This window comes from Homo sapiens, chromosome 3, assembly GCF_000001405.40.
Source record: "Homo sapiens chromosome 3, GRCh38.p14 Primary Assembly".
Lineage (NCBI taxonomy): Eukaryota > Metazoa > Chordata > Mammalia > Primates > Hominidae > Homo > Homo sapiens.
In genome coordinates this window covers 100876646-100902132 of record NC_000003.12, presented here as the reverse complement: position 1 = coordinate 100902132, position 25487 = coordinate 100876646, and the positions used below count along the sequence as shown (strand labels likewise).

General features: G+C 36.3%; 1 protein-coding gene across 57 annotated transcripts in view; it reads left to right on the top strand.

Moving 5' to 3' along the window:
• The window catches only part of ABI3BP (ABI family member 3 binding protein), a 244266-nt gene that overhangs the window by 91289 nt on the left and 127490 nt on the right, over positions 1 to 25487 (top strand). For all 57 annotated transcript variants that reach the window (XM_006713572.4, NM_001377332.1, XM_047447926.1 and 54 more), the window contains exons 4-6: positions 3239 to 3371; positions 15810 to 15991; positions 16545 to 16597. In XM_006713572.4, the coding sequence (XP_006713635.1) occupies positions 3239 to 3371; positions 15810 to 15991; positions 16545 to 16597 (368 nt within the window). The remainder of the gene's footprint in view (positions 1 to 3238; positions 3372 to 15809; positions 15992 to 16544; positions 16598 to 25487) is intronic.

Sequence of the window (25487 nt, the reverse complement as noted above, 5' to 3'; positions counted from 1 at the left end):
AAATAGATCAGCATGTAGGTTTTATTTACTCCTTATCTCTCCCTTCTAACCTCTTCAATTCAATAAAGGAAGGATTTCTTCCATAAAATAAAAATAATAGCAACACTCATGTTTCCAGGTCTAGGAAGACTTGCAACAGGAAAGTGGATATATAAATAAGTAAGTAGAAACTTTCTACATAACTAAAGATTAAAATTCTATGTCGTCTAATTTCACTACCAAAACTTCTTCTCAGATCAAATAATATAGCTGACCATTGCTATAAGGAAGAAGCTGTGAATATGCTTTTTCTATCTGATGTTGCATCTTCCTAACTCTATATAGAGTTGATCACAAAATTTTGCTTTTCTTTTTTTTTTTTTTCTTTGAGACGGAGTCTTGCTCTGTGGCCCAGACTGGAGCGCAGTGGTGCAATCTCAGCTCACTGCAAGCTCCGCCTCCCAGGTTCACGCCATTCTCCTGCCTCAGCCTCTCGAGTAGCTGGGACTACAGGCGCCCACCACCAGGCCCGGCTAATTTTTTGTATTTTTTAGTAGAGACGGGGTTTCACCGTGTTAGCCAGGACAGTCTCGACCTCCTGACCTCATGATCCACCCCCACCTCGCTCTCCCAAAGTGCTGGGATTACAGGTGTGAGCCACTGCACCCAGCCTGCTTTTATTTTTCTAATGTGAATGATCTCCAAGTAATTATTGCCAAAGCATGTTCATCTTTTATGGTACACTGGATACCACACGATAAAAGGATCTTTTTGTTTGTTTGCTATATTTTTCTGGAGGAATAAAATGGGAGAAAGAACAGTCAGCTATTCAGTTATACTAAATAGCTTAAATCAGAAATTAGTTGCCACAATTCCCTCCCCTCTTTCTGCTGATTTCCACTTCTTTTAAGAGCAGCATTGAATGGTTAAGCATTTTGAAAAATACTAATTCTTTTTCCTGGCCTCATAGATCATCCCAAAGCAAAAGGGAAATTCCAATCGCTCCTTACAACTTGTTAGTGAGAGTTGTCCAGACAGTTTTCCACACACTTGAAAATAGATGTACTCTCAATATTTCAAGACTGTACTTCAAAAATATTGAGCCACAAACTCAAGAAACATCAGTGTGATTCCATGGAATCTGTTTTCAGATGAATACTCATTGAACTGTTTCTTGATAGAAATATGATCATAGTACAAATATACAAAATTATGTAAGGAATGTCAAGAGAATGATCATGCCTTAGCACTTTATAACTTCATTTTATTTTGAGGATTCTATGACACTAGCCTTAGAAATTATTGTTTACTTTATGACCAGCTCAGGAAATTGCTTCATCTTGCTCAGGATATAACATCCCACCTTTCTTTTTGGATAGCGGATATAATTTTGTTTTTGTTATCTGCATTTAGGAATAATGTAATGACTAAGGGATTAGCTTCCATTCATTCTATATTTGTATCTGCCACATAAATTTTAATTATTTAATTATTTTTATATTAAGATTCAACCTTAGTGAAATAGTTATTTGGTCATACAAATAATTGGGAGACCATTAGTTTCCCTTGGTCATACAAGCCTTAGGTTCCTTACATGAAAAATATGTCTTTCATCTCTAAATGGCATTATTTTTATACATAGAGAGCCAAGACAGTGATATCATAAAAATAAAACTAGATTGTGATTGAGGAGACCCAGGACTTGAGTTTTGACTTTGCTCTTAATGTGACTTTGGACAATCTTGAAACTTCTCTGTGCCTTATTTTTCATCTGCAAAGTGAATGAGATCGTTGCATCACGTTAGTGAAAATCAACTCAGGAATTGAAAAGGGAAGATCACAATCATCCCAGGGCTTGTTCAAACTATAAGTGTTCCCTGCCTTCACTGCAGATTCTAATCTGCCCTCATTGGAGCTCATACATGACAATTTAAATCACCATCATATAAGGCACAATTACAGCTGGGTCTGCAGAAGTTAGAGAAGAATAAACCCGTGTTTCCAACCATGTAAATGATAACTATCTTTGAAACTTATTTCAAACATCTTTAAAAGTCAACTATCCTATAATGAGGCAATTTGCCACCACTAGGTTAGGTGTATTCTGTGCTAAGAAGGGTTCTTGCTTGAATAACAACTTACAGAACTTAAATTTAACAAAAGGAACAAGCTTGACACAATTTTCAAGAGCATTTGATTCAGATGACCACCAATAGGCTCATGCAAGGGGCACTCTCCTACCTACCTTAATAGAGGTGGCAGGCCATTCTGCCATTTGGCTCCCACTTCATTAGACAGCACAAGTTCTTTCTAGAGCAAATACAACATTCATAGTCTCAAGAAATAAAAGAGGGAATTCAACAGCAATACAGAGTATGTATGTTTTATATTCTGTGTAGTTTTATTAGGCTTTCTATCGGATTTTTATCTTATTTACTCTAATTATTTTCAATGAGTCAGCATTGGTTTTCATGGTTGAGGTTCTTCCTGTTTTTCGCTGCCCTACTTCTGCAGTTTCAGATAATTTTGAAAGTGCAAGTGCCTGCTTCTGTGTACTTGAACACAATCTCCAGTGATTTATTAGCATAACTCTTGGCATTATTTAGATCCAGTTGGCACCATCAGAACAACTGTGCTTCCTGTGTTACCCCTACTCTTCCATCATTGTTAAAAAATGTGTTTGCCTTTTCCATTTAGATACTCATTGTAAAATATATACTTACTACAATAACATGAAGAGATTTTACACTTCTAAATAGGTTAAAAAAGATTATAACCTACAATCTAGATAATAAGGTTTATTTTCTTGTCTTAGATGTTATTTCACACTCATTCACAGTCCCGGGAAAAAAATAAACATACTTTCATTTTATCTGTAAAAGAAATTAAGTGTGTGTATGTGTGTTTGTTTATTTCACTCATCACAGCTAAGACCTCCATATCCTTCCCTGACCCACAAGAAAATAAAACTAGGTATAGCTGGATATTGTTAATATGTGTACATGTACAATATACATATACATGTGTATGCATATATGCATATGCACACATGCATAGACACAAATCTGAAAAAGGTATTTGATTCACATTTAAATTCCTGGGCAAAAATTAGTAATAATGTGGACTATAGAAAAGGAAAGGAACTTGATGTTTTCACATTTTGCATCATCTTGCCAAGTCATCTTTAATGCATTTTACCCGAATCATGGCAACTTACTAAATGTCTCCTGAATTATTAACCTCTATGCCACCTCCACAGGTAAAACTCGTTCTCGCAAACCTCTGCAGCTGGTGGTTGGCACTCTGACACCGAGCTCGGTCTTCCTGTCCTGGGGTTTCCTCATCAACCCACACCATGACTGGACATTGCCAAGTCACTGTCCCAATGACAGGTAATATTAGCATTTGCTTTTAATAGCATCTGTACATGCTTTAGAAGAATATGTAAGTATCAGGACTGTTAGCATTGACTTAACACCTCTTAGCTGTACAGCCTGTTCTAGGTGTGAGGGGAACAAAGTCAGGGGCCCTGCCCTTGAGAAGGTTATCTACCTGAATAGAAAACACATACATGTAATTTTTTTCAAAAATCATGAACTATTATACAAGGAAGTATGAGTCAAATAGCAAATGGGTGGTATCAGTAATAAGTGCAATTAGAAACTCAGAAGGCGGGGCCAAAGGCAGTTAGGAAAGACAATTAAAAGTTGGAAAGTTGATTGGAAAAGGATGGATCTTTGATCTCACAATTGAAGCTCTTAAATCATACTTCTCAAAGTGTGGTTCCCAAAGCAAGCAGTATCAGCATGTCTTGAACTTGTCAAAAGGTAAATTCTCAGGTCCCCCTCAGACTCACTGAGTTAGAAACTCTCAAGGTGGGGCCCAGCCATTTGTGTTTTCACAAGCCTTCCAGGTGGTTTTGATGCCCACTGAAGTTTGAGAATCACTGGCTTAGAAAACTGAGGAGAGACACACAGGCAGAGATATAAGCAGAGGAAAAGCAAGTTGGAAATGAAGCTACCATTTTCTTTGGAAGAACAAATGGGAAAAATCTAAGTATATTTTTAAACTACTGCTATTTATCCATCCAACCATTTGATGCATGTATTTAGATGCATTGGATGGATATGTACTAGGCCCTGTGCTACATGCTGAACCATACTTCTAGGTTGGTTATAAAATGATGTTTGCTTATAAATATTTACTATATTAGCTTCAAAACTCAGAAACTTGCATCTAGAAAAGCATTCAAAATTTTCAAGCTTCAATCAAGGCATTTTATTTTTAAAGTTTTCTATTTTAAATACATTCAAAGTGATTTTTACATTTCAGAAGTTTTCTTATTCCTTTTTGAATAAAAAACATTTATTGAGGTATAATTTAAACACAGTAAAATGCATAAATATTAGTGTACAGTTTGAGTTATGACAAATGCCTATAACCATGTATCCAATACCCATCAGGAAACAGAAAAATTTTATCACTCTAGAAAGTACTTTCCTCCAGAAACAACCATTGATTTGATTTCTATCACCATAGATTAGTTTTGCCTACTCTAGAATTCCATATAAATGGAGTCATATAGTATGGGTTTTCTGACTGTCTTCTTTCGCTGAGCATTGAGATTCATTCATGACATTGCGGATATCAATAATTCATTCTTTTTTGTACTCCTGAGTGATAGTCTATTATGTGAATATTCAAAAGTTTATTCTCTTGCTAATGAGCACCTGAATTATGTTGTTTTTTTTTATGTATATGAATACAGACTGTATAAACATTTTCGCATAAAATTTTGGTGGACATTTTAATTTCTCTTAAACATAAGTGGAATTTCTGAGTTATAGGAAGATGTATATTACGTATATTTGATTATTTTTTGCCTAATTTTTCCATCTACATTCCCACAAGCAATGTAGGAGAGCTCTGATTGCTCCACATTCTAAAGCAGCATTTTGTGTTGTCAGCATCTTTCATTTTAGCCATTCTAGTGTAGTAGTTTTTCATTACAGTTTTGATATGTATTTCCCTTACACTAAGGCTATTGCATACTTCTTAATGTGCTTTTTGGCCATGTTTATGTTTTTTGTAGTGTTTTATTTATTTTTATTTGTCCAAATCAAACTAAAATGAAGGAATTTTTAAAGTGTTTATAAGTTCTCAAAATCACCTTTCATCTGACGTTGGGAAATCTAGACTCAAGAAAAAAATCAAATTTCCCTTCATATGCCCATGGTTCTCAAGGGATGAATACTTGGAAAAACATGTAGAAGATATTTCCAAAACCCAATTTTTTGAAAAATAATTTTGAAATGCTTCAAAGAATCTGAAATACTTTTTATTTCACCCACCACTAATCCCATGACTTATTTTGTTTGGAAAATGGACTCAAAAGAACATGCCTCCTTGTGATAATTCCGGTTCCTAATGGATTGGTCTGGGGTACTAATGCTGAGAAAATAAACACTTATGGATTGCTCTTTTTCTTTTTAAAAATTATCTTGATAAAGTTATGGAGAGAGAAAGGGAGAAGAGAGGAAGGAAGAAAGGAAATTTTGTAGTCTTACAGCAAAATGCAACCCAATTTTAAGGGTTACTCAACTTGCTTGATGAATCTGTAGGACTACTTGTTTCAATAGGTTTAGTAACCTGGCAAACTTGTGTAGCATAATTTGGAGTAATTTCTTCCTCCCGCTCTCAAGCCTCTCCTCCAATTTCACTTTGTCCTACTGACACTTCTGTAAAAGAATCTATCTGATGACCGATTCTAATTGATAGATGTTGCCATGGTTTGACAGCACCCGGAGATAATGAATATAGAGAAAGTTAGGACAGATGACCTAATGGAGCTAGGATTCTAACCCAGGCTGTTGACTCTAAGGCCCAAGCTATTCAGACCATGCATGGATCTCACCCTCACCCTCACCCCCTTGCACACGCACCCTGGCTCTACTCTTATCAAATAGATGGAATTAGGCACATCACATCACAATATTCAAAATCGATAATTTCATTTTGAATAAAGTCTTTTGAAAGATACAATAATGACAAGCAAGATATTCTTGACCAAAGTAGGGAACCATTAGGACATGAGTTGAAGGGAAGAATTAAACAGTAATGACTAAAAAGGAGTATTTGGAGTACTAGTAAATTTCATTTCCCCATGCTTCCTTTCTCCCTAATTAGCATAGTTAATAAACCGACATTTAAAGTCTTTGTGATGTTTGAGGAAAAAAATAATAGCCCCGATTTAAAAGCCTGGAAATACTGTACATATTAGAAGCATCCAAATAAATCTGCCAGAACTACAAATTAGTGTAATTAGAAGCAGACTAGACTTGGAGAAATCTACCCTCATATGTTCATGCATAATTTTTTTATAATTTAGACTAATCCAGTAGGTTAGCATAAGCAATAATAGCTAAAAATGATGGTTATATTCTGAAAATTGGAAGATTAATACAGCTAAAGTTTTACTTCAGGAGTATCTTTTTACAAAACCATTGCAATCTGAATGCACTTGGCTTGCTACAGGAACACCAATTGGTATCATTTTAATTCATTGATATTTGGTTCCCTCTGTACAGTCTCTGATTTTTTAAAAAAATGATTTACATTGGTTTGTGTAGCCTCATTTATCCTGTGCAAATAACAGTGAAATTTGTTTTTATATTTTGACTATGGACTTTGTATATCAAAGCTCTTAGGTAGTAAGTTTCCAGTTAGAAAACCCTCATTGTTTTTGTTTTGTTTTTAGCTTGGAAGTATCAATGAAATATCACTTTATCCTTTGTGGCGCATGTTTCTGTACCTATTTGCATAGGGTCTTTATGGGTCTCCCATGCTTTAAGATTCCTTTCTAAGTTCACATCGGAGAGCAGATGTGCTTCATTTACAGTTTTTATTCTTAATGGGCTTTGAATGGAAGAGTGTACCCATTTGTCTTCAATAGAGCCTCAATTTGAAAGAAAGCTTTCAAATTGGCCCTGATGAAGAGTCAACTGTTTTTAACCCAAATTTATTTCACCATTAATAGCTTATTTTTTCTTTCTCATGTTTCCAACTTGTTAAAGATTTCAAGATTGCTTTAGTTCTCACTCTTTTGCCAGCGTATTAAAGCTTTATGAATAGTTTAGAAATCACTTTCGCATTTTCTAACATTCTCATCTTGTGTTTTTTTTTTCTGTTTTTTTTTTTTTTTTTTTTTTTTTTTTTGAAGCGGAATCCCGCTCTGTCGCCCAGGCTGGAGTGCAGAGGCGCGATCTCGGCTCACTGTAAGCTCCGCCTGCCGGGTTCACGCCATTCTCCTGCCTCAGCCTCCCGAGTAGCTGGGACTACAGGCACCGGCCACCATGCCTAGCTAATTTTTTGTATTTTTAGTACAGGTGGGGTTTCACCGTGTTAGCCAGGATGTTCTTGATCTCCTGACCTCGTGATCTGCCCTCCTTGGCCTCCCAAAGTGCTGGGATTACAGGCGTGAGCCACCGCGCCCGGCCGTGTTTACTTACTCTTAACGTAGAATGAGGGCTCTCCTTTTTGGCCAGTCCAGAGCAGACTCTCTTGCCTTTTTTCCGCCCCCAAGTTTGTAAGAAGCGAGTATCTTCAGTGTCTGAATTCTCACCTGATTGACCCCAGTGCCTTGTTACCTGTCTGTCTTGCCGTGTAAGTTTTAAGCTCGGTGAAGACAGGGAGTATCTTGCCCACCGTTACTTCCTGGTCCCCCGAAGAGCATCAGGAACATAGGAGGCCCCAAGTAAATACATGCTGAATGAAATAACCAGTGAGATATCAACATTCTCACTTTTATGTGTTACCATTACCTCAAACTCAACATGACAAGATTAAACTCAGACTTTTTCTCTTGAAATATCACCTCACTTGTCTCTGTATTGCTTTCTAAAGTAGTATCATTGTCCCATTGGCTCTAATTTAAAACTTCATTTATTTTCTATTTTTCACCTACTATCGTTTATGAAGGCCCGAAGATACATTCGTTTTTCTTTTGAGATGTACCCATATCTGCATCTGTGTCTTCTCCTTGTCCATTTCACACTAATGTTCCCAATCCAAGCATGCCTCACCTTACCCTGGATTCTGGCAACAGCATCCTGGCTACATTCCCTGCTATTTTCTTCCCCCAATCTATTCTACCTTCCACAGTACTGAGGAAATCTAGACTATCCTTTATCAACTCACTCTTTCCTCATCCTGAATTTATCTTTACCTCTCTTCTCTTCTTTCCAAGAAACACAATTCTGACTTCAGACAGTGCTCATGATCCCATCTTTCCCATGTCGTCTAAGCCTTTGCTTCTCCAGTGATCCCCTCTCTCTTCCATTTGCCCTTTCACAGGCAGTGGTGCCCTGCCTCCTGCTGGCAAGCATGCTCAAAGTTTCTCTCCCTGAAAACAAAGCCTTCTGTTGATCCTGTTATGTATTCTAAGCTACTTTTCAGTCTCTTTTAATTTCCAAACTTTTCAGAGTTATGGCTCCCACATTCTGAATTCTGCACCATCTGCACAGTCCTCATCCCTTCTCACTAGTTGCCATCCCTTTTCCACTGTTCCACTGAAATGTCTCTTGGTGGTCACTAATGACCAATTAGTTACTAAACCCAGTAGAGTTTTCTCAGTCCTTATCCTTCTTAACCTATTCTTAAACTCTTTCTTTCTTTGACATTTTTATTTAGATTTTCCTCTTGCCCCTTTAACCATTTGTATTAGGGTTTCCTAGAGGGACAGGATTAATAGGAGAGATGTATATACATGAAGGGGAGTTTGTTAAGGAGTATTGACTCACAGAATCACAAGTTGAGGTTTCATAACAGGCCGTCTGCAAGCTGAGGAACAAGGAAGCCAGTCCGCGTCCCAAAACCTCAAAAGTAGGGAAGCTGACAATGCAGCTTTCAGTCTGTGGCTGAAGACCCAAGAGCCCCTGGCAAACCACTGTCATTAAGTCCAAGAATCCAAAAGCTGAAAACTTGAAGTCTGATGTTTGAGGGGAGGAAGCATCCAGCACAGGGGAAAGATGGAAGCTAGAAGACTCAGACAGTCTAGTCCTTCCAACTTCTTTTGCCTGCTTTATCCTAGCTATGCTGTCAGCTGATTAGATGGTGTCCACCCAAATGGAGGGTGGGTCTGCCTTTCCAAGTCCACTGACTCAAATGTTCATCTCTTTTGGCAACACCCTCACAGACATACCTAGGATCAATACTTGGCTTCCTTCAATCCAATCAAGTTGACACTCACTATTAACCATCACACCTTTCCTTTTCTCCTTTGCTCACTCCTTATTATATCTCCTAAATGTGGAATCATGTTCTATCTTACCTGCAGTACCCTTCTTATCTATGTCTAGTCTTTAACAATCCCCTCTATGCACAACAGTGCTTCTCAAACTTTGTGCATGCAAGTCATGTAGGGAACCTTACTAAAATGCAGATTCTGATTCAGTAGGCCTGAGAAGGAGCCTGAGAATCTGCATTTTTAAAAGCTCTCAGAAATTGCTTTTGTTGCTGTTCTACAGAGAACAGAAGTGGCAAGTATGTAAATGACTTCCAGGGTTGAATCTCTGACCTGGGCCCATTTACAAATTACTAAGAATATGTTTTCAGTTGTCCATGGAATATTTTCATCACAATAACCAGGTAACTGTGATTGGCACCTCACACTCAGACTAAATTCATACTTTCTATACTATTAAAAGAATACTTTTCCCATCACTTTATTCTCACTTTTGAAAAATCAGTTTTAACTTTTTTCGCTTTCTTTGGTACCCATATCCTATAAGGAGTCTGGTTTCATCAATTCTTTCTTAGAACTGTAACTTTAATCTGTTCTGGTTTTTATGTGTGTGTGTGATTCCTTTCCTTGTTATCTCACATCTGGAGTATACCTTGAGATGCCTCCCTCCAGTTTCTCTGTGACTTATTCTTCCACGCTGGTAATTCTAGCTTCCTTCATTACTACTCAACTTTATTTACCTACTGAGGAATTGCCACCAGCTCCCCACTGTCTAGGAAAATAAGTCATAGAATCTCTCAAGAAATATACCTCAATGCATATCTGAGTCATGCTCATGAAATGAGGTGTAAATCCAATCCACGCTGCTTTCCAGGGGCCTGGGTAGTATGTCCTGAAGTAAACGACGTCAATGGAATGGGATTTAAAATGCAGCGTGTCCATTTCTCAGCTTCAGGCTGGATAGTGCCACACCCAGCCCCAGCTCTATGCTGTGTGCTTTCCATTCTGCCTTCTTCAGTCATACACATATGCATGTCTACCTCCTTCATTAGAGTGCAAGCTCACTTTTGAAACTGCAGAATACCACTTGCTTCCATCTCACACAGAACCCAGCATTGTATTTTACAATAGTAGTTCTCAACATATAAGTGAATATGCAAGTGGGATGTCAAGAAGAGGATTTAAAAATCATCTAGCCAGTCTATTCAGCTCTTGAAGCTTCTTTGCAACATCTCCCATCCAGAGTCCACAGTGAGCATCTCCAGGGATGGCATCATAGCATGGATGTTGAAGATACAAATTCTGGTCACACTGACTTACCCGAGTTCAAAACTCTGCTCTATTATCATCTTAGTTGCTTTGCATGGGTTGCTTAAATGCTTTTAGTCTTGGTTTTCTTATCTGCAAAAGGGGGTAAGTAATATCATAGGGTTGTCAAAATTTAGTAAGATGACACATGTAAAATGGTTAATGCAGTGTCTAGCATGCAGTGAATACTCAAAATTATACTGTCTCCTGCTAGCCTTCTCATTGCTTTGATATTATTTACTTTATGTTATAATTGCCAACTTCAGGCAAGCCATTCCATTTCAGATAGCACTAATATCAGTAGAAACATTTCTTTTGTTGTACTTAAACCAGCCACCAGTGGGTGATACTATACGAAGAAAGGAGATCTTAGAAATAGTTGACCAGTTTGTGATGAGTCAGAATTCAATTCACATTTGAGAATCATGGTAAAAATAACTTGCATTTGCCTTATCATGATCCTACTGTTGAGTTAGGAAAATGTGGTTAGACAGACTCACGTTACTTTTTTCCAGAGGTAATCTCTAGATTACTGTGTCAACCCATTGCTTTCTATTTGGCTATAGATGTAAAACTACCAAATAAAAGTGGATTTTGTGGTCTACAAAAAAAAAAAAAAAGTTGACCAGTTTGAAAATTATCACGAGTCCAAAGATATTAATGACCTAAACTGGGGCTCACATGCTACCTTGGAATAGTGGAGAGGCAAGTGGAAGAGAATTCATGTAAGAAAATATACTTGGATTTGACAACTGATTGGACATGAGGGGAGAAAGGACTCTGAAGTCATCAGAAATGGGGATCACAAGAGAAACAGATTTGGAAAAGAAAATGAAGAGTAGATTTTAAGTTAGTTATGAAATTCACAGAGGATTAAGTAATTTGGTCATAAGGTTTTACTATAATAAAGAGGTCAGCCAACAGATTGCAAAGAAATAGAGACATTTTGAGTGGTAAGAAAGTGGGAGAAGACAGATTATTAAGAAATTTCATGTTAAAATATAGTGGCAGGTTTAAGAGAAAAGTACTAGTTTTAATTTTGTTGGGGTAGAATGAAAGATATCTAAACAACTTTTAGACTCGGGAAGGTCCGTAAGGAATCAAGGGAAAGGTTGGAGATCTGGTGGAATAAGGAAGTGGAATACAATTATTGAGAAGCTTATCTTTGAGAAGATGAGAATGCTTTTTCCCTTGAAATCAGAGTGGGACAAAGAGAGAATGAAGGGGAAGAGAGACCCTTTAGAGGAAGGGAATGAGGGCAGAATTTTTCTCAGTAGTTACAGTCTCAGTAAAGCAAGAAGCAACACTGACAAAGACAGTGTCAGGATGTGTTCTTTGACATGAAGAGTCAAAAATGTGGGAAATAGATGTTTTAGGAAATGTAAAAGTAGTTAATCACATAGAAATAAAAGCATTCCTGAAGGAAGTATGGAAAACCCAAAAGACAGTCAACCATGTACATTAAGCTGGGGTAGTTCGTAGAAGGACTAAGCTTAGTTTGGTGTTCAATTTCTTCACTTAGTGTAATTCACTACCAGTTACATCATAAATTCAGTTTATGGAGTTTCTACTTCTGTCTCAGGTATTTTGTTAGAATAGAATATCCAATATGTTGCTGGAATAAATTTTTAGAAACAAAGGATCTAAAAGATAGTGGAGTCCAGTCCCTCTCTGAGAAATTGATGCTTAAGAGGGTGGAGAGATGCCCCCCTCCCAAGGTCATGCTACTAGTTTGCAGCTGACTAAAATCCGAGTCAAGCTACTACCTGCCTTTCTGCTACATTTTGAGGAGCTGTGGATTTTTCAATGCTATAACAACAATTATTGGCAGTATTGAGACTATTCAGGTGGCCCAAGCACAGAATAATGCCAGTTGAACCAAATGCTACCTTCAACAGTTTCTTACCTCTTAATTAGGATATGAGATGCTCTTGTTCTTAAAATTGAAATTGCTGAAGGCAGGCTTTCTAGAAGTCTAGTCTGATGACATTCATAGACTACTACCTGTATTTTTAATAGACTTGTTGCCTCTGTGTGCACTTGTGCTCAATTTTAATCATTCACAGAAAAAGGGTCAACTAACGTTTGACAAGACTGTGACTATATGTTATGGTAAATACACATTAAAACAAAAACTAAAAAGCCTTCAATAATGTGAAATGCTGATTACTTTTGTTTTTCTTCCATTCTGGTTCATTTTTCCATCTTTTTCCATGTCTTTTGCCTAGCACCACAGTTGAAAGAGTCCAGTGCAGTACAAAAGGCATTAGATTAGGAGTCAGAAATTGGCATTTGCCTGGGTCTGTCACTGATTATCAGGGCTTAGACACTTCTTGGGCTCTCTTTTCCTTGTATGATAATTCTTTCTCTGCTCAGAGTTTATTGTATGGATTAAATGGAATAGGTAAATAAAAATCATAAGCCCTGTGCAAATGTATAATGCAGAAATTTATTGTGTTTGGCTTCAGTTTGCTTTGGTTCTGTAGGAGTGGTGCGTTATGCAATGATGTGTTGCAAAATATAATTGTAGACCTAATGGCTTAAATCAATATGTCTTTGGAATTGAATAATTGGTTACTTAGAGATATTATAGTCTAATTTTTAAATGACCCTTAGAGCACCACATATTCATTCCACAAATATTTATGGAGCACCTACTGTGTACTGGGTTATAAAGAACTGTTTATTATCATAAGACCTATATTTTGTTTTAAAATCAATGAAAATTTACTTCACCACTTTAAGTATAGTTAAGTGGCCTAATCTCTCTGCTTGAAAAAAAATGATAGTGCTATAAAACAAAATTGGAATTTGCCTATAATATACAAGTATCAACGGAGACAGTGTTGAAAAGGACAAACCTAACTAGGAGAAGAAGGGCAAAATGCCTAAGCCTTTATTTTCCTGAAAAACTTGGGATAAGAGGGTATTTCAAATGCTTTGTGATCAAAATGGAAAAGATTTACACTCTGGATTTTTAAACCATGGTGAAGTTTAGGGTTCTTTTTAAAGAACAAAACATTTCTGTCTCATTTATTTATAAGCAGGTTATGTGAGATCAAGTTGACTGCAAAGCCTTGAATCTGACCTTCAGTAGTTCTGTTAGCAACAGGACTCCTGCATCATGAAAGCAGTTAAGTCCTCAGAAATGTATCTACTAGAGATGCATAATTTTGTTGGCCCATCTGGTCTGATTTTAGCTTCTTAACATTTCTCTAAGAGCCAGGACGGGGAAAAAATAACAATAAAAATTTCATGCAGCGTATTTGTCAAGAAATGCATTTCATAAATCACTGATATTTTGACTCACAGGACACAAAGGACTTCTATTACATTCTATTACAATTCAATAATATAACATTTGTTTCCAGTAGCAGTTAGTGTTTAGGCTGGAACAGCCTCCTTCACTCATTCTGTTTTCTGCTACTTTGGAATGGGGGAATGGAGCCCTGAGCACAGCTTTCACTAGAAAGGAGCAAGCTAATCAATGATGGCAAGCCTTTCAGTGGTTTGTGCCTAGTAAGAAAGTAGGCTGAATATACAAATGCATCTCATCTCTCTCTCTATTTATTAAACTACAAACCCCCTGCTGACTTCATGGGCATACTACCTGTGCACCAGACCCCCAACTTAGAAGAGCCCAAATTTGGTTTAATGCTCTGCTGTCACTGTCTTAAGATTCCTAATAACTTTTGAACAGAGTCTACGTGTTCATTTCTTATTGAGCCCCACAAATTACGTAGCCAGTTTTGATACTCATCTCTAGATACTGGGATTGTTTTGCATCACCAAGAGCTTAGGCTTGACACTTAGAGAATGCTCAATAAATGTTTTCAGAATGAGCAAAATTCCTGATTTTTTAAAGCTTTAAATAAAAGCAAGTAACCTTAATCTTACTCCATTTAATTTTGCTGATGTAAGGAGTGGAGGAAAGGTACTAACCTTTTGAGGAAAATGTTAAGATATAAAAAAGACCCAAAAATAGTTTACCCAATGCGTATGTTTCCATCATCATAACATGGCAGCTACTATTTCATTCTATTAATTCAGTGTTTAATTAAAAATAAAAAGCAGATGAAGTTTACCTATTGACCCCATCTCAAATCCTATTTTTCTCATCACCTGCTCACTGGGAGTTAAAGCACTATCAGAAATGTTGTATCCTTTCAGTATTTGTTATCCCTTTACAGTGCCAGGAATAATATTTGGTAACATATTTCATACGTCTGAATATTTATGTAAATGATAGGAAACTATATGCACCAATCTGTAATTTGTTTTTATTTGATATTTTGTTTCTAAAATCTATCCACATTGATACATGTAGTTCTCCCATTCACTCTCATTACTGTATATAGTAGTATACTGTACTTGATCTGCTGCCCCACTTACAGCGGCTGTTTAAAGTAGAGCCAGAGGAGTCTGTCTTTGTATTTCGATTCTGCCACCGCCACTGGTAAAAGTCAGTAGCTGGGTGATATTGGGCAAGTTAAGTGAATGTTCTGAAACTCCATTTTCACATTTGTAAAATGAGATTAATAATTTCTACCAGCTAAGATGTTTTCATGACAATTAAACCAGGTAATATATGTAAAACCTAGGTTCAAAAAATAGTGATAAGGATTATTTTACACATATATATGTGTATATTTATGTATATATGAATATTATGAAGGCCTAAGTAAATACATAACAGTGATATTGAATTGGCATTAACTTTTTTTATTTGACTCTTAACTTGGCTATTGGTCTTCTTTTTAATAATAAAAACAGCTCAACCTTAAAATGCAGTACTGAATACATCTTAGTCTTAGGTTCTTTTTTTTACAAAATTGAATGATATTACCTCTAACATATCCTTCATGGATGAAAAAGCTTAAACTCATACAACTATGAAACTACCATAATAATTATAAAATGGCACCTATGTTCTACTCTATGTATAATAGAATATTATACATAGTGTAATATCTACGTTTTTTCTAGTGTTTTCCAACTTTCATCTTGCAAAGCAGCAAATAATAGAACGAGAATTCTGGAATTCCATTGGGCCAAAACTGTGCTGCTGCAAAGACTCCAACTTGCAATGAGAAATTAAAAACCTAAGCACACGTTGAGCTTATTTTTTTCATGTTCTCTGCAAATTTTTTAAAAATCGGAAGAGAAGCCAATATTAAATAGTATCCCAAGTTGGTTGAAATCTGTGATGAAGTAAGAAATTTGAAATAACATTCTGAATCCCTCTGTGATTTTAAAGCATTATATTCTGGTTATTCAACAGATTTTATACAATTCGCTATCGAGAAAAGGATAAAGAAAAGAAGTGGATTTTTCAAATCTGTCCAGCCACTGAAACAATTGTGGAAAACCTAAAGCCCAACACAGTTTATGAATTTGGAGTGAAAGACAATGTGGAAGGTGGAATTTGGAGTAAGATTTTCAATCACAAGACTGTTGTTGGAAGTAAGTACCTAGAAATGTTTGTTTCAGTAAGCTTTTATAATTTTTTTCTTAGTTACCTAATTTTTAATTATGTTATTCATTGTATAATATGAAATAAGCTAATTCCTAAGGTCTAGTATTTATGAAAATATAGAAGCAAAGAAGATATATTGAGCATTGATATTTCAGAATCTTTAGTTATAAGTGATTTTTAAAATAAGTAATAAATATTTGATGCCTCCATTGATGTCGTTGTCTATTGTATTACAGCAGTTTAAAATCAATCCCTACCTGCGAACACCAACAGAACCAGAAAAACAATAACATGTACCAATGTTCAGAATGGAAAGCTAGACCAGTAGAGATGCCCATAAAAAGACTTTCGGGAACCTTGAGCTTTCTTCCAGTCATCCCGTCATTAAAACTTCATTGGCATCAGTGTTTAAAATGATAGTGATTAAAATTATACATCCAAGTTAGAGGATGAGTTGTAGTTGTCTTCATAATGATTAGCTAGAGTTGATTTAGGAGCAAGGAGAATAAAAATAATGTTATTTTTCCCTTGTTTCATCAGGTAAAAAAGTAAATGGGAAAATCCAAAGTACCTATGACCAAGACCACACAGTGGTATGTAACAGTTTATTTTCAAGAATGTTTTTAAAAAATTGTATCTGCATTGTTAAGGAAATAGTCTTATTATAAGATACTGAAATTAGATTAACTGACTAGCTATGAAACAGTGGAGAAAGTACTTAGTTTTAGGAATTAGTTTCTTTTTCTTAATACTAAGTAAAAGCATGATTTCAAATCATCTCTGATTTGTTTGAAGTTCTAAAATTCTAAGATTCAATGTAGCTTATTCTAATATTTTAGTATTCTGGGTATTTCAAGGTTATACATATTATCTTCTGTCTATTGCTTTTTAATATAATGTTTCAAGAGCAAATTGATACATGATTTATGTACATTGCTACAGCTCAAACCTTTCCTTTCTATTTTCTATCATACCCTACTTAAAAGAGCCAGTCTTTTTCACAACAATGGAGCAACCAGTTTGATTTTGTAAAATGCCCAGTCTCTGTTCAGTTCAGACAATGTTTGCGTTTTATGAACCAGGCATTTCCCCATGAATCTAAAAACATCCTTTTCTCTGTCACTTCAGCCACTCGGTTTCTCATGCTCTCTTTCCTTCCACTTTTCAAAATCTATTCTCAGGAAGCATCATGTCTAGTATATACCACCCCACCTGGGATGACTGTAAGTCACTGTTAGAGCCACCACAGACATGTTCGCATTTCAAATCTCATACCCAGTATTTAGTTTGGTGCCAAAATAATTGCAGCTTTTGCCATTAAGAGTAACAAAGGACATTATATTACTGGGCAGACAGAGGAGGCAGTTCGGTGAGAAGAAGGGAATTTGGTCCCTAGATATTGGAAGTATCCTACAGTCAAATGAACGTGCAAAGACTATTGTGGGTGGAATTTTGCTCTCTGAGATGTGTGCTTGAGGTGTGTGGCTGAACATCTTTTTATGTCTAATTAAGGAGTCCACAGAATAGCCCCATGGATCATGTGGCCCAGTCTGGAAAAAAAATAGTAGTATATACTTCACTGGGATTAAAAACAAAAAAAGGAAGATTGGTTTTGGTAACAGAAAATAGTCTTAGATAAAGTAGAACTGACTAAAAATTAATCTGCCTAAGGCAAATGTTGTTCATGTGGTTTGAAATGGCAGAAAAGTGTGTTCATTGTGAAATTATTATCAAATAGTAATTATGAGGTTGTTACAATTTCTAGGAAAATATTTCAATGTATTTCAGATATAAATACAAAAAAGAGATTGCAGGTAAATTCCTAGGCCTGTTTTTTTTTCTCGCTCTCTTTTTTTTAACTTGTCTGTTTGGTTGGTTTTTTGTTTTTAGGTTTTGCTGCTTTTCTAATTGTCTAATACTTAAATATTTAGAATGTTAAGTGGGAAAAGAAGCATTAACAAGGTTACCTATAACAAAACTACTTATAAGGGTAGTATAAAACCATTAATAGTCTGGTAAAACTTTAGAACATCTTTTGTTTTCTAAACATGTTTTCATTACAAATTAAAATCATACTATATTTGCAATTTTCTATCTTGCTGTTTTCACTTGGTCAAAATGTTATGAACATATTTCTTATCATCAAATGCTCTTCATAAACATAATTTTAATTGCTGTGTACTGTATGATCTAAGTGCATGATTATAAGTTTCCAATTTGTAGGCATTTAAGTTACTTCTAATTGTTTTTAAATTGTGGGTGATGTTATAGTGAACACTTATGATAGGTTTATGAACACTTGTGATAAAGCTTTGTTCACAATGCTAATCATTTCCTTAAAATAGATACTTAGAAGAGGAATTAACAGTTTAGAGTTTTAACATTTTTAAGCCTTCCTAATACTATGGTCAGATTTCTTTCCCGAAAAGTGGTACTAATTTATAAACTCGCCAGCAATGTATCAGTTTATGTTGCTATAGTACCCTGATTGTCAACTTTATATATTTTCATCGCTAAATTGTTGGCTAATGTAATAGCTTATAATTGTTATCTTAATTTTTATTTCTCTGATTGCTGATAAAGCAGTAGTTTCTTCACTTATTAGCCAGTTGTATTTTCCATTTAATGACATTCTCTTGCAGTTCTTTGTTTGTTGGGCGTTTCATGGGTTCTTTTTAGAACTATATAGTCTAAGACTGTATACACTAAAGAAACATTGACCTGTTGATGATACTATCTAGAAATATTTTTCTCACATTTGTTATAGCTTAAGTTTGCTCATAGACATTTTTGAAATAGACAACTCATGAAATTTCCTTAACCAAATTATTAGATTTTTCCATTGTGATATCTCAATTGCATTATATTTTAGAAAGGCCCTCCCTCTCCAGAGAGCAGATAAATATTTCTTTCCTTTCTTTTAGTTTTATAAGTGGTTTGATTTTATAATAATTCTGTGAATTTTATTTAACTATGGTATATAGTAAGGTTCTATATTGATTAGGCTATGTATTTTTCCCCCAAATAACCAATTGGCTTAGTACTGTGTATTTATGTATTGAATTGTGCCTCTCCCTAAGTTCCCTTCATCTTTGTCTCTTAAATCCAGTCAACATTGTATAGGAAACGTAGATCTGCTGTACCTCACAGGCAAAACAGTGGGATAGAATTGCTCTTTCATCCTCTTCTAGAAAAATCCTCATTCTTTGTTGTGAATGGTTGCCTAGGAAGCATACATTGTCTCCTACCCTCTTGGCTGTCATGCTTAACCTTTCATGTGACTCCATGATATCATTTCTTTCATTCCCTCTTTTCAGCTATCATATCCCAGTAATTTGTATTTGTCTTGGCAGGATATTTCATTTAGGATGAGTTACTCAGCAAGATTGGGAAAGATGATTGACGTTTTACTCTCAGGGAATTTAATTTTTTTCCCCCTCAATATAAGCAGCCATGATAGGAAGGGCTAGGAAGCAACTTCCTGCATGCATGACACAGAGCCAGGCATTTTATCACTTCAAGCTGTGAGGTGGAGTATCCTGACTCCAGCCAGCTCTGATGAGTTTAAAACTCTTTGTTATTTCCAAAGGAAAAACCAAATTCATTAAAAAGATATTTTAAGCCTTCTTTGAGAAGGTTTATTGTTTCCTTCTGGACAGCAAAAAAAATATATATATATATATTATATATATATGAACTTACATCTCTGCTCTCAGGTAGCTGTGGAACATGGGGAAGTAGTAACAGAACTGCATGGGATAACTTTGACCATGTTATGTGACCACATACAATTGATTCTGAGAAGTGGTTTGATACTTTGGAGGTATATTTTAGTCCAAAGAAGTGTATACCCAATTATTCACCCATCTCTTCTCTGAGACCTATCTTAGAAGGCAATACTTCAAGAGATATGAAATTAATTTCACATGTTTTGCTTTTTGGATTTCAAGCAAAAAGACACATTGAAAACTTTTTTTATTCATATGAACATGCTTACACCTGAAACCTTAGAAGCAGCAAAAACTCTTGAACACCTTCCAATAAGAGGTATTCGGAATGGAAAAAAACAACTTGAACTGTAGGCTGTCCATTTTACAGATAAATAAATTTTAGGTCAAAAATTTGAATACAAAATACAGCCCATCCTACCCTTCTGGTTACACTATATATTGTAATTCATATATCTAGATATGTGTTCTGCTGACAGGCAAGCCCCAGTGCAATTGTGCCCAGAACATATAGCAGGGAATCTCTTCTGGTTGGCTAGTACCTTTGTTCTACCAATTGTTAAATGTTTTCAATATTGCTCCTACCTATACCTCTAGAAAAATCAGAGAAAGGGCATATGCAGAAACAAAACTGTGATTCTTTCTATATAAAATAAATCACTTGAGATCCATATGATTGAGGAAGAAAAAGATACATTTATCATGATGCTTGTGCTTTTTTTTTCCATTTAGAGAATCTAGGACACTCTTTTTTTTGAAGGTAAAACCTAATGTTTACTATTAGGTTTTATTATTTTAAAAAATAAAGAATGATGGCTAATATTTTCATACATTTTCTATATTTTGAAAAAATGTATTACTTAACTAGCTAAACAAAATCAATATTTGAAGTATGTAGCACTTATTAACAGATTTTTGAAAGCAAATTTAATTATTTAATCTAAATCTTCCTAGAATCAGTGTTCTCCAAAAATATGACATCTATTTTTATCTTTTTTATTTTCCATCAGAGATCCACCCATATTTTAAGAAATCCACAGTTACTATCATCAAAAAGAGAAGTGGTACCACTTGTTAAAATGTAACAATTATCAAATGATTGATGTGAAGAGAGATTACCTTTATGGTCCCCACCCACACTTTATGACTGTGTACAGTGAATGTATCAGGCATCCTTCCATTCTTAGCAATCCTTGTCTCAAGCAGACACTTGAAAAATTTCTGTGTAGGCAAACTATTAATACATCATCAAAGGTTAAGTTGACCAGAAATTTGAAGCCTTTTGAAAGTAGGACATTAGATTGACTTTTAGCCAGATGTTAGATTGAGTCAGTATGTTTTGTAACTTTCATTAGAACATCCTAGAAGTGAATTAAAACCAGAATCTAATATGCCCAAGTTCTCATGTGGTTTGACTCTTGAGTCATTGAAATTTGACTTTGAGCCACTGTTTTAACCACTACCCAAATGGACAGCTCCTCTTTATCTCGGGGCCTGAAAATAATGTTAAACCTACAATACTAATATTCTGATGCCACAAAAATGTCAAATGGACAAACCTACAAAAAATAACATCCTTAGTTATCACTAACTTTATTACAGCTAATTTTCAATATATTATCAGGAGGAAGTTAGTGTAATGCAGGGTGAGACGCAAGTTCCTTGTCATGTGTGGTGGTAGCAGCGTCTGCTGCTGCTACTGTGGGTATTTCTAAAGAAGCATATGCTTTCCTAGCCATGGCAAGAAAGCATGCTGCATTTGTCTCCGGGGCATCACCCTTTAGACTCTAGTAGTCTCTCCTTATTGAGTGTCACCAACTGCATGCTTCGCCACAGTGTCCCAGAAAATCAGTAAAAATAAACGATCTTAACCAGACTTCTGCTCAAGGCATAGCCCAACCTGGGTTTGTAATGGACAGGATATCTGGAAATGAAGAAGAAAAAAATCTATTATAGGACAAGAAAGAAATATGCTTACTTCCTGCCATTTAGTAAACATTGAAAGACAAGAACTACGGAAGGAAGAAGCGGTAGAGGTTTGCAGCAAGAATGGGGGAATCGGCAAGCTGTAGGGAAAAGAGAGCCAGCAAGGGAATGACTAAGAAGGAAAATCGCTGCCAGAGTGGTGTCTGAGGACAGCAGTATCGTGCTGAGGCCACACCAGCCAAAACAGTGTGGGAGCCTGCGGGGCTGTCACTGCCTCCTTCCCATTTCCAGGCCCCACACTGTCTACATCTGTGACTCTGATGTACATTAATAGCTGTTCGTAATAACAAGCCTAGAAAAAGTAAGGAAAGGTCAGCAAGGAAATGTTTTTTTAAAACATTGTACGTAAAACAGTTCTATTAAGATTGGATTGTAATTGGTTAAACACTGTATCTTGGAAATTATCACAGTACTTCATTTTGCAGTGAGTCTGGTTAACAAACTTTTCCCTGCCCTTTTATTTGATAAGACATAGGAGAGGATTCACATTGTGAATTTCTGAATGGAAATTGTAGAGGTGTTGGCAGAGACATATTGAGCCACAGGACTTTCCTGATGCCCTTTAAAAACCTACCTGTAGAGACGCAGCTATTTGCTCATTAGTAGAGTCCTTATGCATCTTTGGATTGTGGATTAAGCAGGAGAGCATTTCTAGGCCTAGAAAAAAAATTGCATTCTTCAGCTAAATGATTTTTTAATTTTTGGCAGCACATATTGTACATATGTTCTTGTCACTTTAACTGGACACTGGTCTGTAACTGGACACTGGTCTGTACTGGAGTCAGAACTCAGAACAGAAACGTTGTTCCATTCATGTGAAGAGCAGAATATTTTCCATTTGTCCTTGTCAAAAAATGGTTTGTTTGAAACAAATCATTACAACAAGGAAAATTAAACTGGTATAATGCAATTCAGCAGCATAGCAACATGTAGGCTTTTCTGCTCTAATGTGTTAAGTATCTTGGAAAGACTTCGCATTCAACAAAACGTGCGCTAAGTACAAAATGTGCACTAAGTGACAGGAGATGTAGGGCAAATAGAGGACAGGCCATTCAAAAGCCTCTGCAGCTGCAGCCACAGCCTGAACAAAAATGATTATTGGTACCTAGAAAAATAATGTGGCTCTCTTGCCTGGCAGCTCCCATGTAGTTGAAGGTTGCCATGCCAAGCACTTAAAAGTCTCAGAAGTGTCAAACACATAGAAGCAGAGAGTAGAATGGTGGTTACCAGGGGGTGAGGGGCAAGGGGGCAGTGAGGAGATATTGACAACGGGTAGGAAGTTTCAGTTAGGCAGGAGGAGTAAGCTTTAGAGTGCTATCGCACAGCAGTGTGACCGTAGTTACTATTAATGTATAGTTCAAAATTGCTGAAGATAAATTTCAAATGCCTTGCCACAAAAAAATGACAGGTAAGTGAGGAGGTGGATATGGTAATTAGCTTGGTTTAATCATCCCGCATTGTGCACTTAGATGAAAACATCACATCGTACCCCAGAAATAGATACAATTATGAAGAAAGAAATGATTTTAAAAATAGCAAAAAATAAAAGTTGTTTTAACATGAACAAATAAAAATTCTCAGAGGAGTTAGAGGCTATATGCCAGCAACGCTTTTGCTGGAGCAGGCACAGGTGGAGAAGCTGGTGGGGCTTCTCTTAAGGTGGGCTCGTGAGTGAGTGCAGAGTGCCAAGGGTGGGCCTAACTTTTCTCCCCTGGGGAAGGATCTCTGTGCAAGTGCTCACATGTAATAGTTTTATAATAAAGCCAAAAGGGATCCTCCTGCCCATATAACTGCAAAGCTGAGAGTTTGGTATTTTTTATCCCCCACTGAAAGTTATACTTATCTTCCTACTATTTTCCTCCTGTTGCCAAGAAAGAGCATGTCTAAATTATATCTGCGTCATTCCTCTAGTTATCAATAGTGTATGAGCTAAGTTGCAATACAGAAGCATGTGTGGTAGCTAAACAGATTGTTGATTAAAATAACTTTTTCTGCTTATAAATGTAATTTGCCCTTACCAGAAATTTGGCAAATATAGAAAGGTGCACAAAATAAAATGAATGTTGGCTTACAAGAAATAAATACTGTTTTAAGGAAACAGTGATTTATTTCCCTCTGGCCTCTTTTCTATACATGTATTTATAAAATTGTGTTATACTGTGGATGCAAATTTGTATCCTTGGTACTTATTTATATTCTGCATTTTTCCATTTTATTAAATACAAGTCAAATTTTTGAACTATCATTTAATAAAACCTCTATTTTTGGATAATAAATTTATTTTAAGTTATGATAATAAACACTGTCTTTGATTAATTCCTTAGGCCGGATTGCTAAGGAGGAAATCATTGAGTCAACGCATGCAGGCACCCCTTTAAAAAAATAATCTGATAATAGTAAACTTTTATTCGTTGTGATTTTTTTAAAACATAAGAACCTTAATATGATAAGGAAAATAGCTAACAGTAAGCCTGGTATATTGTCCCTTCTTTATCAGAGGGATATCACTTATTAAAATGGTAGTATGTCACAAAGTATGTTTTGCTCACTACCAGGTGTTTGCCCTTGTAAGGGATTTGGTAATCATGTAAACACCTATCTGGTAAGCAGCTCATATTCAGCACATCCTTGATGATCAACAGGTCTAGTATATGCCATATCTGTATCATGTATACAGGCTAAACCAAGTATCAGAAAGTGGACATCAGTCTTGCCCTTTCAACTCAACTCTAATTCTCCTGTGTATAATTTTCTGCCCTTCTCCTCACCTACCCTGTGTCCCTCTAAGTCTGTCTTATCCTTGGCCTCATGATTATGTCTGGCAATGACTCTGCTTTAAAGTCTGCACCCATCCCTAGGTCAGGCTACTTTATGACGTCAGAACCTCCTGTGGGACTTCTGAGGTAATTTGGGTGAGGAGAGGAAGCAGAGTCCTCTGGGATATGTCCTTCTGATTCTGAGGTCCTTTGTGTATAAACATGTGCAGAATGGTTGAAAGTACAGGCTGTGGAATAAGAAATATCTGGATCAGAGTCCTTGCTGTGCTTTCTTGAGCAATAAGTGCTTGGCGTTGGGAGCTCATGGTAGTTGTGGTATCTGTAGTAACAGCAGCAGCAGCAGCAATTGGATACACTCAAACAATTGATCTTGATTGGTTTTCAAAGATAATAGGTAGCTTAGCATCTTTTTGAGAGGGACTGTAAAAACAATTTGGCGGTGTCATATCTCAAATGTAATGAAAATAAACTAATATTCAGTACAGAAGATTTGGTTTCTTTCCATTGCAGTTTCTAAGTAAAGTGAACTAATGGGAGTTCTGAAGAAATTGCTTCTGTCAAACCTTGGGATATTTATGAGGGAAACCAAGTGAATCCAATAAAGTAGAGGCAGATGGATGTACTAACAATCTAACCAGCAACTTTTTTTGAGATGGAGTCTCGCTGTTGTCACCCATGCTGGAGTGCAATGGCATGATCTCGGCTTACTGCAACCTCCGCCTCCCAGGTTCCAGCAATTCTCCTTCCTTAGCCTCCCAAGTAGCTGAGATTACAGGCGCCCACCACCATGCCCAACTAATTTTTTTTTTTTTGTATTTTTAGTAGAGATGGGGTTTTACCATGTTGGCCAGGCTGGTCTCGAACTCCTGACCTCAGGTGATCCACCCGCCTCAGCCTCCCAAAGTGCTGGGATTACAGGTGTGAGCCACCACGCCCCGCCACCAGCAACTATTAAACCAGTGTCACAGGAGACTTCATTGAAGACAAGAAAG